At 40.2% G+C, this 19,839-nt stretch overlaps 1 protein-coding gene and 1 pseudogene across 5 annotated transcripts in view; both read left to right on the forward strand.

Annotated features, from left to right (window-relative positions):
• Nucleotides 1-19,839, forward strand: part of FRMD6 (FERM domain containing 6) — a 334,297-nt gene that overhangs the window by 29,007 nt on the left and 285,451 nt on the right. For 3 of the 5 annotated variants that reach the window (XM_047430926.1, XM_047430921.1, XM_047430932.1), the window contains exon 2: nucleotides 6,979-7,025. The gene's annotated coding sequence lies outside the window, so the exon portion shown is untranslated. Of the gene's footprint in view, nucleotides 1-6,978; nucleotides 7,057-19,839 lie in introns of all 5 variants that reach the window. The other 2 variants (XM_047430922.1, XM_047430931.1) reach the window with 1 other exon arrangement.
• SETP2 (SET pseudogene 2) lies at nucleotides 10,713-13,876 on the forward strand (annotated as a pseudogene).

A 19,839-nucleotide genomic window follows, 5' to 3' on the forward strand; every position in this document is an offset into this window, starting at 1 on the left:
CACCTCCATGCAGGTGATCCTCTCTTCTGAGCTTGTCAGCAACTGCTTGATATCTTCTTCTGGGCGCCCACTGGCTCCTCATCTGTAATATGTCTCAAACTCACCTTCTCTTTTCCAGTTCTCATATTCTGTTCTATCACTTCCCCCTGTTCAGGTCTCAGGGTCTTTTCCACACAGCCTCTTCTTCCTAAAATGTGTCCCCTTTCCCTGTCTCAGCCACATTCTGTGTATGGCTGCAGTCTCCTCATCCCTCTAGGATCAGCAGAATGTTGCCTGCACAGATAACCTACCCCAGACCACCCTCTCTGAGTAGGTCTCTCCTCTTGTCCTCTCCTGTCACTCTGTGAACTTCCATCATGACACTTCCAACTACACTTGTAATTGTTTCATCTTTTCTTGTCTCTAGTCTGATTTCCTGACTATCCTCTATGCTCCGCCTGGCAGGGATGAAGTCTGTTTTTTTCAGCACTGAATACTCTTGAGTGTGATGCCTGGCACATAGCAAAAGCACAGTGATTATGTGCTGAATGAGTGGATGGATCTTCCTGGCCACCCTGCCCTGAACTTTATATATTTTTTCCTCTTTCATGCTCTCCAAATCCAGTCTCATAATTGTTAACAATCTTGTTCAACATGGGCCCTCATTTTTGGATTCTTGTAATGGTTTCCTAACAAATATCCCATTTTATTGATTCCCCCTGTTGTCTCTGTCACCATTACTGCTTGGTGACTTTTTCTTGAAGTGTTTGTCATAATCGTTAGTTATATTCAAAAACCTTCTACTTCTCTTGGAACTTAGCCTGGCAATCAAGATATCCTGATTGTGTTTTCCATTCCATCCCCTCCAGATCCTCCACCTAGTCACGTGGTGTCTCAGCCTCACCATTTGCACTCTCTGACTGTGCCCGCGTCTGTGTGTCCTTCCCATCCACCTGCAAGCCCCACTCCCCACTAGAATTAGACCCCGCTCTCTCAGAAGTCTCTACTTTTGTCTGTGTTCACTTACAACACATGACTTTCTACCTTGTACTATAGTTTTTTTAATATACCCTCTATTTTCCTAAGTGGATGGCAAACTTCTCAACAGAGAAGACTATATGTATTTTTGCACTTTATTTACTCAATGCCTAGAAAATTTGGACTTAATAAATATTTGCTGAATGAATACACAAGTAATGTATAACCTTGAATGCAGATCAGCTACACTAAGTAGGATAAGAGATGCCAGGTACCGTGAGATGGGGGGAGTGGAACAGAGAGTGCAGAGTTTAAGACCCTTCTCGTTCTCTTCTCAGAGAGGGCTCACCTAGTGTGGAGAACTTTCTCTTGAACTCCAAGCTTCTCTGCTACCTTCCTTATTAGACCTTGAAGTGGCAGTGAGGACCCTGGCTCGCAGGCTGTTGTGAGGAATGGGATGGGGCCTGATCCCTGGCTTCACCTCCTATTGTTTCACCCCACTGCATTAGCTTAGAGCTGACAGAGCAGAATTTGCCTGAGCCCAAAATGACCACAAGAAAATAGATCTGGATTGGAATTAGCCTACTGGAAAATGGAACAGTTACCAATTTTTCTTTAACTTTCTTTTCTCCCCTCCTCATCAGATATGAGAGTCTAAGTCCTATTGAAATGGTAAAGTTAAAATAATTGCTTTCTGAGACCTAGTAGGTATATTATTTTTTTCCTTGAGGCTCAGGACCTTTTATTAGCAGAACTTATAGCAAGGTGGAAAATCGGTTTATCTCATGGGCTAGTTCCAACTGTGGGGAAGTTCCCTAGAGCACATTTTCCTCAAATTATTTATCCTCTTGTATACAAGTGTCATGACCTGTTACTGTTGTCTGCCATGCATGCAGGAGGAGGGAGTGGAGCAATACATTATTTATTTGGCATATGCCAGCCACTTTGCTGATCACCGTGCATATGGGTCCAAAAGAAAGAGGTACAATTTGGCTTCACATAGCTCAGGCATTTGAGGAAGGCACACAATTAAATTATGAATGTATGAAGAACCTTATGGGAGGAGAAGCACATAGAACTTTGGGAATATGTGATTGAAAAGAAATGGGAAAACTTAACCCCTGAAGTAGTGCTAGTATTGTCATCCCCATTTTACTTATGCAAACATTGAGACTTAGAGAAGAAAACAAATTTGTCATGGGTCACGTGTTGGCTATAAGTTGCAGAATTAGGATTTTTACCTAAGACAGCCTTACTTCAAACATGCTGTTCCCGTGTTTTCCACTTCGTATAGAGATGTGAACATAAGTGAGCATGCAGTGGTATACTTGTTAGCTTGTGCTGTCTTGTGAAAGGTAATTGTACATTTTCAGGAAGTTTGCAAGCTTTCTGATGTTGCGCTGAACTTGAAAGCAGCCATGGTGGGAGTATCTACACCACAGAAATTGGCACCCACTATACATCAAAGATTTTTCTTCCCCAAAGACCTGGTTGTTAAACATTGACCAGCAAACAACGGATGTACAATACTACCACATTCTTTAAAAATTCACAAAATATAACTACATTTTTACAAAGAGGTACATCCAGTGGATGTGAACTTTTTGTGGCACGGGAATCGTTTTGGGAGGTGGAGGCTTGTTAAAAGGAGTTTGGGTTCAGTAAGTCTGGGCTGTGGGAAGAATCTACATTTTAAAAAAGACTCAAAGTGAAATGAGAACACACTTTAGGACATACTCAAACTTTTCAAGTGAGTATTTTCCTTTTTCTTTGAACACTAAAGGTGCCAGGTGAACTTCCTAGGTCAGTGATTCCAACCCTGACTATGCATTAGAATCACCTGGGGAGCCAATACAAACTATCAGTGCCCAGGCTGCCCCCCACCCGACCCAATTAAATCAGGGCTTGAATGAAGGAATTGGTGTCACGTGCCCAACTATTTCAGAATTGCCATGTACAAGTGACTTCTGTGATTCCCGTTGTGCCCCTCCCACTTTTGAACTTGAGTGTCTACTGCAATGATCTCAGTGTGGTCATTATATGCTGCGTATATGGAGCAGACAACTCCAGTCTCCAGGTTACAAGTCTTCAGATGAAGAGGAACTGTATTTAAAGAAACATACCTGATAGCTTCATATGCACCAAGACATGATTTAGAAAATGCGATCCTGGACCTCCAGTCTGAGCCTGTTGCTGTAATGAGATGAGAATCTTGGGGGTTGTGGGAGAGGGTGAGTGAACTTTGAATGTGGCAGGAATATAAATAATTAGGGGCTAGAGGATGGGCTACAGCAGATTAAAGATGGCTACAAATTCTTTGATACCTCTCCCACTAGGAGGTGGGATTTATTTCCAATCCTTGTGGGTCTGGGCTGCCTGACTGCTTTTGCCAATAGAGAATGGCAGAAGTAACACTAAGCCTGGTCCTTAAAAAGAATGGCAGTTTCTATCAGTTTCTTGAGCCCCAAGCTACCTTTGCCATATGTGAAGACTATGAAGATATTCCCTGAGGCTACATGGAGAGAGAGAGGGGGAGAGAGAGAGAAGGGGAGAGACAGAGGGGGAGAGAGAGGGTGAGAGACAGAGGGGAGAGAGAGGGTGGGAGAGAGAGGGGAGAGAGAGGGTGGGAGAGAGAGGGGAGAGAAAAGAAAAGGGAAGAGAAGAGGAGAAGAGAAAAGAGAAGAGAACAGGTGAGCTCAAATTCCCATTTGTTCCTATCAAGGCACCAAGCATGTGAATAAAGCATGTGTGTGAAGTCATCTTTGATTCTCCAAACCAGTTCAGCTGCCAGCTAAATGCCACCGACTAATCCCAATTGACACCACAAGGAGCAGAAGAATCACCTGGTTAAGACTTGCTCCAATTCCTCTTCCTCAAAATTGTGAGCTCTCATGAAATGGCTGTTGTTTTCAGCTACTAAATTTTGTTGTGGTTTGTTATGCAGCAGTAGATAATCAGAACTCTCCCCCAGGTGATTCTAATGTGCAACCCAGCCGTTCAAAAACAGTTTCACCTGGGTAGTCATGAAGATTTTTTTTTGTTTGTTTGTTTCCCTCTAGCCCTTTATCCACACATTACCAAACCATTTTCTTCTCTAATTCTGCAATTCCCTCATTGAACTTTGTCGAGCACAGGTATGATGGCTCCCTAAGTAAACTACTTTTATGTGGCTAAGGACATCTCATGCGTTTGGACAGAATGATCCGTTTCCCCCATTTAACATTCAATTAAGTGTCGTGGGCTTTTAAAAGAGACCAAGCACTGGACAGGAGTGAGGAAAACTTGACAAAGTCCCAGCTTTGACATTACTACCTCTATGATCTTGGGCAAGTCATGTATATTTTCCCCATCTTATTTTTAATATTTATAAAATAAGGAAGTTAGATTACTTGTCTCTCAGTTCCCTTTCACTTGTGGGACTTTGAGACATTGTAAGGATGTTGAATAGTAACTATCAATGGGGAGAAATTCTTTTCACAGAAAACACACAACTCATCAATTTCCTCTTGATTGCCCTGACTCAGTCTAGATTTATACCCACCACCTTGGGGCAAAAAGTTATGTCTACATCACTAGTAACATCCTCAGGCACTTGACTTTCTGAGGATGTACGCCCATTTTAAATGCATGAAGCTCAAGAAGAAAGAAAAAGAAATAAAATTGAATTCAACATGCATTCTTTCATTCCATAAGATTCAGTAGAGGCTTTGTGTTCCATGTGATTATGCCAGGCAAAAGATGTTCAATGCCATGGGCTGTTCCGGGGAATGAGAGATAGAGTAATGAAATTCATGACATGTAAGTTTGGATTTACAAGTCAACAACAAATCCCTCTGTGAGTTTTCAGAATTTATCCACCTCAACGTTAAAAGCCGAAAGAAAGAGTTCTTTGTGTGTAAAGTGAAACCATACTCCATCCTAAGTCTTTAAATATAGTTGCTCACTTCCTTCAGCTCCTGTTAAGTACTGCTGACCTTTCCCAAAGTATTCTTTTCTGGCCTCCACTAATAGCAGAAGATCTAACCCACTGCTGTTAACAATACACCTTACAGGATTTTGAAAGCTGAAAGTAGTAGCTCCACGCAAATTGGAGTTGTTTTTTTTAATTCCTTTATTTTGAAAGTTTAGGCATAATCTGGGGTAGAAGTTCATGTGTTCGTGGTAGTTAAAAAGTCAAGGTCAAACTCTACATGCCACAGGGAATCATAAAAAAAAAAACAAAAAACAACAAAAAAAACCCTCTGTTCTTCTCCCCGCTTAAATCAGAACCAAAGAATTCCCCAGTGAGAACATATCTCTCATCTTTCACTCAGAACAAAAAGCAGCAGTACAAAACATGAACTGCATGGTGTTTGCTACCCTTGGGTGGCAGCTGCTAGCATGAGCATTACCATTTGTATTCAAGGGATCTTTTATTCCCAGTTGCATGAGCCGAGCCACAGGGCTTGCAAGAATGCTTGGGATGCTTCTTATGGACTTAGGACACAAAGAATCTGTGGTGTGGCTCTGAAATGGGAACCGCTAAAGACAGAAGAACTGAAAGGGATATTTAATATGTTAGTAAGGACATTGCTATTCATGTATGGAGTATGTATGTGTGCAGAAGACTGTGTGTGTGTGTTTATGAGGATATGTATATGCTGATTTTAAAGTCTCTCTGTTTTTAGACAATTGAGGTTATTGTTTTCTATATATACCCAGAAGAGTGTCAAAATGCCTTAATGGGCAGTGAGCCATCATACCTGTGGATGGCCAAGTTCAACAAGGCAATTGCAGAATTAGAGAAGGGGACTGTGTTTTTCTTATTAATGGTTAAGCCATTGCCCCGATAAGAGATTTTCAAAGTTTGCAAACAGGAAACTGGTCACCCAAGCTGGAAGTCCTTCTAAAATAGACTCCTTATTTCAGTCAGTATTGAGTAATTTTAGTATGCCAGTGGCTCTAACAGAAATTGTTTTCCATAAAACATGCAAATTGATATGTTTTCAACTCATTCTATCTCTCCTAAAAAGACTCCAGAAAAGTCACCCACAGTACTACCCGGTACAGAAAGGGAAAAGTTTGAAACATTTTTGTTTACATCAAAGTCAGGGAAACCATTTCATACTCTGAATGTTCTTGAGATGATTAATGCCTGCATTGACAGCACCTCCTTCTTAACCAATGTTGCAGTGAAAGTGAACTTGAGTTTATAGTTCGTGGTCCATAACTGAAACATCATAGATTTAGGTATACAGAAATAGAGCTGGTAATACAAACAAGACCTTGAATTTTACCTGAAGTTGGTGATAGACTCCCCTTAGCTATTTTCCCTTTATTTATTTTTTCCAAATTATAGATGAATTTATGAGCAGTTTAGGGTAAAGGGGACCCTAAGGATAGATCAATTTTCCTTAATCCCATGTAACTAACAAATAGAGGTCATATGCAAGTAGAGCAGCTTTTAGGTGTCAGGCTAAAAGAGTTCTTGATGAGATTGCTCATGTGGAAAGAAAGTATCCCTTTTAAAGTCACCCACTTTGCAAGGGTACCATTGAGCTGTGTGAGCTAAATAAGGCTTGTACAGTTACTGCATTACTTCCCTTCCAGCCCTGGAGACTACAAGCAAAGGAAGATACTTCCTTATTTAATTTGATAATGGTACTAAATTAAACAAATAACACATAACGACAAGCTCTTTTGAGTTAGAGAATCAAAAGAAGACAAGATGTATTAATAGCAGAAAACATTGAATTAAGATACAGTAATGACTCTGTTGTTCAGATTGATCCAGTTCTTTATTTACATTATTGAAAAGATAGAGAGTAGCGGAAATGCTGCCTTTGGTGACAGTTCAACCTCAAGGGATCAAATCCAGCTTCATTCTGGTCTGACTATATACATGGAAGTGATGCCTAATGTAAGGCTCCCCTGGCAGTACTTGTAATTTACAAGATTGATTTTTTTTTTCCTCTGAAGAGCTGTTAAATGTGATTAATTCAACTGAAACTCAGGAAAATTCCCTTTTTCTTTTGCAAACAGGTAGAGGAATTCACAGTGGTCTGGAACACAGAATCATCAGTCATAAGGTCAGTCCCCTGCTTTGACCTTTGCCAAATGGTGAGTTGATTGACTTTTCCCAGTATGAAACATGAGGACCAATGCCTGACACTCAAATGTGAAGATACCCAGGGCCCATGTTAATTGTTAACTTTGTGATTTCTACACCAAACACAGGGCTTACTTTTAAGCATCTGCAGAAAATGTTTTTTATTGTCACAGGAAACCTAAAAATAACCGTAACCCTGAATACTCAGACCATTGAGCTTGGTTAAGACACCAACCAAACTGCAGTACTGAGGTCACGGACCACCTCTGGGAGGAATAGAATTCTGTCTGCCCTGGGTGCTGGGTGTATGAATAGGGCTGAGAAAGCAGGCAAGTCTAAGGTCTCCATGGAGCTCAATCCAGGGGGCAGGGCCTATCCTGGGAGCCAGATGTGAAAGTTTCCTGTCCATTTCTGTTGCTGGCTTTGCTTTCGTGAGCAGACAATTCACAGCAAATGAAATAGAAATGGCCCTTAAACATGAAACTTGTTCACACTCACTCATAATTAGAGGAATACAATTAAAACAACACTGAGATACGATTTCTTGCCTGTCAGGCTGGCAAAAATTAATAAATTTTACAACACATTCTGTTACATGCATTTCTGGTAGGATGTCAAGCTGGTACAACCTTTTAAAAGTGAAATTTGACATTACTTTACAAAGCTACATGTGCGTTTACTGTTTGACTCAGAAATCTCATTTTAGAAATCTAGCCCAAAATTCACTTCCAATGATATGACAGTACATATATACAAGATTGTTCATTGAAGCATGATTTGTAATTGCAAAATATTGGAATCAGTCTAAATGCCTACAGATAGAAGAATGATTGAATAAAACCATGGTTCATTTATACATGGAGTACTATATATCTGTAAAAAAAATGAGGAAAATCTCTCTGAAATAATAGGTAGTGATTTTCCCGGACATACTTTTAAGTGAGAAAAGTAAAATGCAAAGAATATGTGTAGTATACTATGCTTGATGTGAGAAAAAATGGAATACTAAAAGCTCATATCATACTAAATACATATCTGCTCATTTGTGCCTAAGTATGCTATGCCTATTTACATATAGCTTCACTAACGGAACGTGTTGTAAAATTTATTAATTTTTGCTAACCCGACGGGGAATAATATACAGAAAAAATAAGCCAGGAGTAACGAGATTGGTTACCTACAGAGGGTAGATGGAAACAGGGTGGAAAGAATGGGAAATGAGAACAGAGTGGTAGAAGCAAGGTGTGAGCAGTACTTTTCTGAATATGCCTTTACTATATAGCGCTGACTCTTAGAACTATGGGAATGTCCCCCTCTCCCATTATAATTAATTAAATTCAACCCAGATGCTGGGGGAACCCCAAATAGAACACAACAGTAAGAAAAGTAGCATTGGAAATAGTATTTTGACTATATACTATAGCACCAAAGACTACTGTATGCAAGTATTATAAAACGAACTGTACGCAAATATCTTAATCTATTTGGTAAATACTCATAGGGATATGCTTTAGCAATTCTGAAGCTACATATCTACTAGGACTGAACAAATAAATAAAAACATTGTGAATAATGAGAGCCCCATTTCTCAAGTAGAAGAAATAAGTTAAAAATAAGGAAGGGGGAGGAAGCTAGAATAAACCCTATAGTGTTAGAATAGGAGGTATCAGCGTAAACTCATGATTTTTATTATGTACACAGGTGGCATAAAGAAGTAAATGTAGATGTATATATACATATGTAATATACAGACACATATTTTCTATACCTCATGACATCCCAGTAGCAATGAGCATGTCTACCACCTATATTTTGGTTGTTAAATGCCATTCTTCAATAAAAGGAACCAGGGTTCCTTGTAGAATTGGTTGACTCCAGGATTGAGCCAGTGAAATGATAAGATTAGTCTGGAACATCTTGTGATGCCAGAAGGTAAGGAAGTACTCAAAAACTGATGGGGACATGCTGAAAGAATGTAAGAAACTTGAAGGGGTTCCTTTTGTAGTAAAAATTGGGACAATTTGAGCAACAACAATTAAAAAATTGTAATAAGTATCTATGGCTCTAAATTGACATGAGTAATTGAGAAAGGACAATTCTTTCTTACAGTAGGATTCTGATTAATAAATGTAGAGGAAATTATTTAAATAAAAATTATTCTTAGGCAAATAGCAATAAATGTTCAGATAAGAACCATCATTGGGCACTAAAATTAATGAAGAAATAAGACTATTTGCATAGTCTTAAATTTTCTCCTAATTATTACAAAGGGAAAAAAATGTCTTTTTGGTAGAAAAACCTGGCATGCATCACCTTACCCAAGTCATCAAAGTTAATATCACCTAATATTGTGTATTTCTTGATATGGGACACTGAGAAGGGCACAACATCTCCTCTACGTTATTCTTGCAAAAAAGTATAATCATGAGAAATTATCAGATCAAAGTCTAGGGAGATTTTTCAAAATAACTGGCTAGTAGGCTTCAAAAGTGTCACTGTTGTGGGAGACAAAAAAGACTAAGGTGCTGTCTGTCACAAATTAGAGAACACTTAGGACACATGACAACCGAATACAATGTGGAATCCTGGATCGTACCAGTAAAAAAGACATTAGTGGGAAAACTGGCAAAATTATTTCAACAGCGTCTACGGATTAGTTAGTGGTATTGTATCAATGTCAATTTCCTGGTTTTGATCATCTTACTAAGACTATATAAGATGTGGTCAAGAAAACTGGGTAAAGCATATCAGGGATCTCTGAACTTTGCAGCTTTTCTCTAAGTCCAAAATTATTTCAAAATTTAAAAATTAGGCTGGGCATAGTGGCTCATGCCTATAATCCTAGCACTTTGGAAGGCTGAGGTGGGAGGATCACTTGAGCCCAAGAGTTCGAGACCAGCCTGGCCTGGGCAACATGGCGAAATCCCATCTCTATTTAAAAAAAAAAAAAAAGAAACGAAGTGTAAACATTAAAAAGAAATAACTGGTAAAGAGGAACAAAGGGAAGTACAAGTAAACATTTGCTTTTTATTAGAAACCTTAAGAGTCCAAGTCTTGAATTTTTACTACTGAAAACAGTACAAACTACAGATGATCATGGTTACTTTAACTTAAATCATATTCAAAACTATTACTAAATAGTGCTAACTAGAACCTGGGAAGGGTAGAGGGAAGGGGAGATAAGGAAAGGATTTTTTAACCAATATGAAATTACAGCTAGATAAGAGGAGTAAGTTCTAGTGTTCTATAGCACTGTGGGGTGATGATAGTTATTATTTATTTAATATTTTAAAATGGCTACAAGAGAGAACTTTGAATGTTCTCAACACAAAAAATGTTTGAGGTGACACTAATTACCTTGATTTGATCATTGTGCATTGTATACAGGTATTGAAATATCACACTGTACTCCATAAATATGTACAATTATTAAATGTCAACTAAAAAAGATTATTCATATTAAGAAAATGCTCTTAAAAAATGACCCTGAGTTTTTTGCCTGCTTCCTGATGAGCGAGGAGACCTGTGGTCTGGTTCTTGGACTTCCTTAGCCACATGGCCCCCAAACACCTGTCTCCACTCCCACCTCAAGTGAAGAAACCAAGACCACCTCCTGCCCTGAGACCAGAGAAGACATTGACTTCTGCAGGCTTACTGAAGAAGGGAGAAGAAGAGCAAGAAGCAATTGAACACATTGATAAAGTACGAAATGAAATAGACAGACTTAATGAACAAGCCAGTGAGGAGATTTTGAAAGTAGAACAGAAATATAACAAACTCCGTAAATAATTTTCTCAGAAGAGGTCAGAATTGATTGCCAAAATCCCAGATTTTTGGGTAACAACATTTGTTAACCATCCAAAAGTGTCTGCACTGCTTGGGGAGGAGGACGAAGAGGCAGTGCATTACTTGACCAGAGTCGAAGTGATGGAATTTGATGACATTAAATCAAATTGCTGAATAGATTTTTATTTTGATGAAAATCCTTACTTTGGAAATAAAATTCTCTCCAAAGAATTTCATCTGAATGAGAGAGGTGATCCATCTTCAAAGTCCACTGAAATCAAATGGAAATCTGGAAAGGATTTGACAAAACATTCAAGTTAAACACAGAATAAAGCCAGCAGGAAGAAGCAGCATGCGGAACTAGAGAGTTTTTTACCTGGTTTACTGACCATTCTGATGTAGGGGCTAATGAGTTAGGAGAGGTCATCAAAGATGATATTTGGCCAAACCTATTACAGTACTACTTGGTTTCCGATATGGATGATGAAGAAGGAGAAGGAGAAGATGATGATGAAGATGAAGAAGGAGAAGGAGAAGATGATGATGAAGATGAAGAAGGAGAAGGAGAAGATGATGATGAAGAAGAGGAGAAAGGATTAGAAGGTATTGATGAAGAAGGGGATGAGGATGAAGGTGAAGAAGAAGAAGATGATGATGAAGGGGAGGGAGAGGAGGATGAAGGAGAAGATGACTAACAGAACACTGATGGATTCCAACCTTCTTTTTTAAATTATTATACTTAAGTTCTGGGATACATGTGCACAACGTGCAAGTTTGTTACATAGGTATACATTGCCATGTTGGTTTGCTGCACCCATCAACTCATCATTTACATTAGGTATTTCTCCTAATGCTATCCCTCCCCCGGGCCCCCACCCCCCGACAGGCCCCGGTGTGTGATGTTCCCTGCCCTGTTTCCATGTGTTCTCATTGTTCGACTCCCACCTATGAGTGAGAACATGCAGTGTTTGGTTATCTGTCCTTGTGATAGTTTGCTGAGAATGACGGTTTCCAACTTCATCCATGTTCCTGCAAAGAGTCTGTCTCCTTTTGGGATGGAGTCTCGCTCTGTCGCCCAAGCTGGAGTGCAGTGGCGCGATCTCGGCTCACTGCAACCTCCGCCTGCCGGGTTCAAGCGATTCTCCTGCCTCAGCCTCCCGAGTAGCTGGGACTACAGGCAAGCACCACCACACCCGGCTAATTTTTTGTATTTTTAGTAGAGACGGGATTTCACCGTGTTAGCCAGGATGGCCTCAATCTCCTGAACTTGTGATCCGCCCGCCTCGGCCTCTCAAAGTGCTGGGATTACAGGCGTGAGCCACCGCTCCCGGCCCCAACTTTCTTTTTTAAAAAATTTTCTCCAATCCCTGGGAGCAAGTTGCAGTCTTCCTTTTTCCCTTTTTTTTCCTCTTGTGCTCAGTCGCCCTGTTCTTGAGATCTCTTTTCTCTACACCATGGTTCTCAACTTATTTTGGGAGAAATACCTTGAGCAGAATACAATGGAAAAAGTGTCTCTACCCCTTTCTGTTCAAAATTCATTTTTATCCTTTCCTGTCTGAACAAAAACTGTACAGAATCAACACCACTGAACTCTGTGGGAAAAAAGAAAAACCTGTTCCCTTTGCTCTGCTGGAAGCTGGAAGTTGTGAGGCCTCTGTGTAGCAGTGCACAGAATTCTAGCTTCTTTTCTCCTTTCTCTGTACCTTGGGCTCAGAGAGTACACCATGTCTCTATGTGAATATGCACAGTTAGCATTTCCCAACATGCATCTGTCTACTTTCTCTTGTTTAAAAAAAGACAAAAACACTTTAAAAAATGGAGTTATAGAAGGTGCAAAGGGTGGGTTGGAGATGTTTGGGTTAAGTGGGCATTTTGACAGCATGGCTTCTGCTTTGGCATGTTCAATTGTGATATTTGACAGACATCCTTACAGTTTAAGATGACACTTTTAAAATAAATTCTCTCTGAATGATGACTTGAGCCCTGCCACTCAATGGGAGAATCAGCAGAACCTGTAGGATCTTATTTGGAATTGACATTCTCTATCGTAATTTTGTTCCTGTTTATTTTTAAATTTTCTTTTTGTTTCACTGGAAGGAAAGGAAAGATGATGCTCAGTTTTAAAGGTTAAAAGTGTACAAGTTGCTTTGTTACGATACAACTAAATGTGTACACAAAGGATTTGATGCTTTTCTCTCAGCATAGATATGCTTACTATGACCTTCCAAGTTTGACTTGTATAACATCACTGTCAAACTTTGTCACCCTAACTTCATATTTTTTGATACACACTTTACAGGAAAACCTCAGGGCTATGTGGATTTAGTAATGGGATTTGAATCATTCTGTTAATATCTCCCTAGCTGGGAAACATGGGTACCATTCGCCATTGGTTTCTGATAATATTCACATCATTTGGGATACCAGAATGCTCAATACTCAGTTCTCAGAACGTTGTGCCCTTGATTTTTAATCTCCAGGTGGCAGTTTTTAAAATTTGCCTTTTACCGGGATATAAAGTAATAGTGCCTGCCACTACCATCAAATAGACCTGGTGCTTTAATGCCAAGCTATATATAGGGCAGTTGCTGGCATGTCTTCACTGGCTATGTAAAATGTGGCCAAGAAGATGGGCTCTCAGAGTAAGAAGTCTGTGTTAATTAGGAGTAACTGTCCCAGCTCTCTGGTGTAAAGTTGTTCAAATATGACTATATAAATCTGGGTGGGGTAATGGACTCAGCTCTGTCTGCTCAATGCCATTTTGCAGAGAAGAAGCGTAATGCGGAAGCTTTTTAATGTTGTTAAAGTATAATAGCTGAAATTAAATGCCACTTTTTCAGAGGAGAATTAATGGACAATCTGGTGAAATTCAAAGCTTTTTGATGTATAAAACTTGATAAATGGAACTATCCCACCAACAGGCAAAAGTGTAACAACCTATGTAGATGGATAGTATGTAATTTCTGTATAGGTCTCTGTTTAGTAAATACATCACTGTATAGGAATCAGGAATCTTGCTCCAGTGAAAGAACATAAAGATTTTTTGGGGGAAAGAATGACTCTAAGAGATTGGCTCATTTTTCCTCACCTGGTGAAGCACAGCTAGAAATAAGAGATAAGCCAAAGAGACATTTTATGCATATGTCTCAAACTCTATGCATGCAAGGCTCTTTGCTTTATTCCAAGTAGGTACGTCAGTCTTTATTCTGAGCCTTTTCTTTCTTAATTCATGTAAAACTCTGTCAAGGTTGGCTTTGGGTTTTTAGTTCAGAAGAGAGTAATACTGCATCAGACTATTAGGAAGGCAGGTCCACAGTAAGTGACCCACTAACGTGTTCACTAGGTCACACGGTTTTGTAAAATTTCCAAAGGTAAGATATCTTAACCACAATTGGTTCAGACTGCCTGCTGCCACTCTGACTTGCCCTCCAGCACACATCACCTCATGTCAGATGGCATTGAAGAGGCTGTAGGCGTTTTTTGAGCTCTAGCTAAGTAGAAGTCAATTAGGGTTTGTTGGAATATATATGTATATTTTATAGTTACTTCTGTGTATTATTAAATTATTGCTAGCGTAACCAGAGTAGGAATGTCTTCCAGGAATATGCCCACTGTCCAATTTGGTATCTAATTTTGTATTTGTAATTTTGTATTTTTTTTTAAGAGTCCCTCCTCCCAACAACCAACAATTGTCTGAGCTTCAGTTCCCTAAAATTTCGGATCCACCCTTGGCATTATGCTAATGTATGAAGAACAGCCAGTTAGAAATGTTAAAACAAAGAATTCAGCAGGAAAACAAACCCTTGTTAATTAGTGTAAACAAAAGATAAGAAAGCGCAGCGCCCTTGATCTATTTAGCATGTGGATAAAGAGCTAACAAACTTCAGCAGATCCTGAGGCCACCACTGTGGTAAAGCATGTGTAATAATTGATGTTAGTAGTAATGATCTTGAGTCATGAAGGAAAGCTTAAACTGTTGAATATACTCGTTAAAAATACAGAGAAATTTATAATTCATCTTAGGAATATTTTCTACAAATGTTTAAAATAGAAATGTTGGTGCTTACACATTCAAATTTTCAATGATCCAGAAACATACCCAAGAACAATTAATTATCCAAGGGTTTAGCTGGCCTGGGTTTTATTCTGGTTTGGTTATGTAAAGCTGGAATGGTGGGTTATGATCTTTATTCCAAAAATCAGAGTAGTGTGCTGGACCAATCAGTTGAATCCAACTTCCCTTGTCCTAACTGCACACGTTTAGCACATTTCTCAAAGAATTGTCACCAGTGAGGTAGGCTACCCTTAGAAAGTGCTGGAGAACTGAGAATTCTGCTAAAGGTGTTTGTGAAGGCAGAATAGTGTCAAGGATGGGCTATAGGACATAGAGCCAAGCAAATGTACTTATACTTGCTTAAAGAGAGAGAGAGAGAAGAGGAGAGAGAGAGAGAGAAGCAATAGTTGCCAACATTTATTGAATACTTACAACGTGTCAAGCACTGTGCAAAATATTGCTTCATATAAATCATGTGTCTGAATTAATCAGCCTAACAACTCAATCAAGAAGCTATTTATTAGTCCCATTCTTCAGAGTAGGACATTAAGGCTAAGAAAAGTTAAGAGATTTGTCCAAGATCAGAGAGCTTCCTAACCCTGGCACTATTAAGATTTGGGGCTGTATAATCCAAGGGAAAGTTCTGCAACTTTTAGATGTTTAGAACATCTTTGGCCTCTATGCCTTTACCCACTTGATACCTGTTGTGGCAAATAAAAATATCTTCAGATATTGCCAAATGCCTCCTTGGGATGTGGAATCATCTTTGGCTGAGAACTGTTTACCAGCAGGCATGGAGTCACTGCTATAAACCCAACCTCCACTGGTGCTCCTTCTGCAGCCAGAGGGCGGGACCTCCTCTCTGTTATATGGACACATTGTATGCTAAGTATCAGGCAGCCTTGCCAAATGCTCCACAACCTGGAACTGGACACAGGGAGGCTTTCGGGCCCTGCCCACAGTTCCAGGCCCTGACACTTCTATCAGGCAATTGCTGGGCCACCCCTTTTGGAGAACTCCATATCCTACCAGAAATCTATAGAGGCTTGTGGCTATTCTTATGCCTTCCCTCAGTTAGGTCCCACTTTCACTCTGCTTAGCATCCAATCCTCAGAAACTGAGGTTGAGAGTTGTGGCTGTATCCTACTTTCACTAAAGAAGGTGGGATTGTAAATTTTTTAATTTTCCATTCTTTTAAACTTTTATATGTCTTTTGGGAGGGGAATTGAACCAAAATACTTCTATTCTGTGATCCTTACTAGGAGCCTTGGTCCAGTTTTAGTTCCTGTGTCTCAAATCTGTGAAAGAGAGGGAGAGACAGATGGACAGAGAGAATGCAGGTGTCTAAATGTAAACCCATGCGTGTAGAGTTTTAACATTAGCTACGCTTCTTCCTAAATTGACGTTGGGATGAAGCTCCAAGAAGGTACATAGAGCTCTTCTTAGAACTATAGAATTTCAGAAAAACATTTAAAAAATCTTGTTGTGGGAATAATATAATGATGCAAAATTCCTTTGAAAATTACTGTAAATATGCAGTGACATTAAATGTGCTTGAAAATTATATACTACTTAATGACATAATTAATCTTTTATATCTGTTAACCGAGATGAATACAAAAATATGCTGTCTTCTTTATTCAAACACCTGAAAAGTCAAGTTTCTTGACAAGCCTTACAGGCTTGTTATCATCCGTGTGTGTGCTCAAAACTTCGTACCATCAGACAGCCCAGGGGAGTGCCAGCAGTTGCAGTGTAAGGACCGTTTTTATCTAGCTTATTCTGTGAAGCACATTAAATGTTTCTCATATATTTCAAAATCTTAAAAGCATTTGTGGATGACAGTGACTTTAACAATTCTGAGAGTAGAAAGTGCTCAGTGGTTTTGAGCATTGGGGGATTCAATCTAGGTTAGGGATCCCTTCTCCCCTCCTCCGCTCTCTCTTGTCCTTTCTTTGCCTCCCTAATCTTCCCTCCTCCTTTCTCTTTCTCTTCTCTCCTTTCCTTTCTCTTCTCTCATTCTCTTTCTCTCACATATACACATGTACTCCCACCCCTCTTTTTTCGAAGGTTTTAAATTCCATCCCTTGATGAATAATTTTAGTAATTGCCCAGTGATAGTGCTAATTAAATTAGACCTCCAGAGGGAAGGCTACTCTTGAGTCTAAATGGCCTTGTGAGTTTTCCTATCTCTACTTCTATTCTAGCAAACTTCTAGAAAGCCTCTGCCTTGCTTGTCTTTAGTTTTACTATCTTCTGCTTATTAAGTATTTATCTCTTACCCTGCTCCCCACATATTATAAGCTCCTCAGGGCAGAAACTATGCCTTTTAAATGGATGCTATTCTAGTGACTACTCAGGAAATGTTTGTTGACATATTTGACATGTTGAGTCTCCCAGGTCTATGGCTGCTAATGAGACATTGCTGGTCACTTCTTCCTCCTCTTGGGCAGCCCCCTTTAGGATAACTATATGCCAGACCTCTTTAGTATAACCATTTTGGTACAAAACATGTTGAAGCTTTATGTTCCATTCCACCTCAGAAGAACAGCAAGAAAACAAACAGAGTGACGTACCATTTTCTCAAGAAACCATGGAGTGCAAAATAGCAGAAATCACCAGTGCCTGGCCTTATGCCTGCATGCTTTCTGAGCTTGGATTCCTGGTGCATAAATCACTGCATGACTCTGGCTTCCCCATACTTGAGGTTGTGAAGGCACCAGGATGGGGAAAAACCCTGCAGGATTTTAATCTTACGTGCATCATCCATAGGCTTCTCCCCCTTCTTGCCACTACTGGCTCAGGACACACACATAGTTCAATGAAATAAAACATATTTGTTCCCTATCTTTCAAACAGTCTTTTCCAATCTAATGTATCAAAGACATTCAAAAGTTTGAGCAAAGGCTGTTCTTTCTCTGACTTTGTTTCATCATGGGCAAGTCTGCTAAGGAAAACAGCACATGCTAGCCAGAAGAACTTGAAAAAGTCCAAGATGTATAGATTTCTCATTTCTGTCCCCAAAATCTTTCTATTTATATTCTCTGAGTGTCAAAATGGATATGACTCAGCTGTGATCCACCAAAAGATGAGGCAGCGTGTTAATTCAACCCTCACTCTCTCTATCAGCATATGGCAAGGTTTATGGCTGCCAAAAAATGCACAAGCTCTTGCCCCCAAATATGAATGAGCAAAACACCCTGTGCTTTATGAAACCAAAGGCTGCATCTCCACCAGCTTGCACTGGATATGCAGTCTTTCTGGGCCTGACCGGGCTGAAGGTACAAATGATGCACAGGATGAGGAGTTGGTCTTTCCCATGCGGGGTTTGTGCCATACTCTTCTCTCTGAAAGTCTGCCTTGCTGCAGCCTCCATCCCCATCTTCCAAGAGAAATCGTACAAAAGATCTCTCTCCCCAAGTCCTTCTGAAGTAGTCTCTCCTTTAAAAAACAACCAGGACATTGTTTCCTGAGCATTTGCCAGGAATGCCAGAACAAGGCTTATCTCCACCAATAGAGAAATAACAAACATCATTCCTTTTCAGAAAACATGGCATGTATACATGCATATTTGGGGTAAAGGTAGGGAGAATGAATTATCCCTTTCAAGCAAGTTGTGAGTTTTTTTTTTTTTTTCCTCTCGTTGTCCAGGCTGGAGTGCAATGGTGCAATCTTGGCTCACTGCAACCTCCACCTCCCAGGTTCAAGTGATTCTTCCGCTTCAGCCTCCCAAGTAGCTGGGATTACAGGCAACTGACACCAAGCCTGGCTAATTTTTGTATTTTTAGTTGAGACAGGGTTTTGCCATGTTGACCAGGCTGGTCTCGAACTCCTGACCTTAGGTGATCCACCCGCCTTGGCCTCCCAAAGTGCCGGGATTACAGGCGTGAGCCACCACGCCCAGCAGTGGGTTTTTATCTAACAGAGTAAGTTTTTCCTGGTGAGTGCTGGCCCCACTGGCAAGAGGCTTAATGGTAATTTTGTTGCCATCAGATGCTGAGATTAGCTCCTGAGCTTTGTCTCTTGAGGACTACCTGGGTCTGGGAGGTGAAGATGAGAACTGGCATGTGGTTGCGCTGAGAGTTGTTTGTACAGGGTTGCCATGATATGAAACTGGGGTTACACTGCCATTCATTTTTTTCTCTCCTGTTTTCCCTGGACAGTCTGTAACGAATCCATTGTTAGCAATGTGTGTGTTCAGTCGTTTAGTAAAATTCCAGCCTATTCTTGTGGTGCTGATGAAAACTGAGAGAGAGCAAGGGAATTTGGACTTCTGACTCATCTCTTTTAAGCACTTTGAAGGCTCTGTCTGCCTTGAATGGTGATGGCAGGTGAGGTCGAGAGCCAGCTTCTTCTTGGCTCTGGCAAGAAGTCACGGAGCCCTATACCCTTAGAGTTTTATTCTTCAGATGTCTAAATTGTTTTTCTAAACTGCTTTAGCGAGAAACCCTGTGCAACTGATAGGGGGCGGAGGCATCTGTGTGCTTGAGAGCTCCTTGTTGTCGATGTTGGTGTCTAGAGAACCCACATCCCAGTCCATTCCCATCTGGCCCGAGATGAAGCAGCTCCTCAGAGCTGTTCCTTTTAAGTTCTTCCCCCACCTCCTACCTAATGCACTGTACTTGAAAACTTATTCAATGATATAATACTATAATGATCATTGAAATGCCTCAGGAGCCTGGAAATGGCTCAACTTTGATCAACTATTAATTTTTTTATTTGTTCAATGGACCCAGGAAGAAAGAGAGGGTCTGCTGCCATCCAGTTGACCACCAAAACCTCAGTGAATCTTGGCATAGATTTGCTCCCTGCCAAGAGAAGCTGGACTATTGCCTGAAGCAGCAAGAGATGAATGGTTCCTTCTGTAGGTCCTGGCATGAAAACATCTCATTGTTCTATCCTGGTCTATAGGGGCTGCGACTGGGCCCCCCTCAGAGACCTCAAGCACACCAGC

This window comes from Homo sapiens, chromosome 14 (genome assembly GCF_000001405.40).
Source record: "Homo sapiens chromosome 14, GRCh38.p14 Primary Assembly".
NCBI classification, from domain to species: Eukaryota; Metazoa; Chordata; class Mammalia; order Primates; family Hominidae; genus Homo; species Homo sapiens.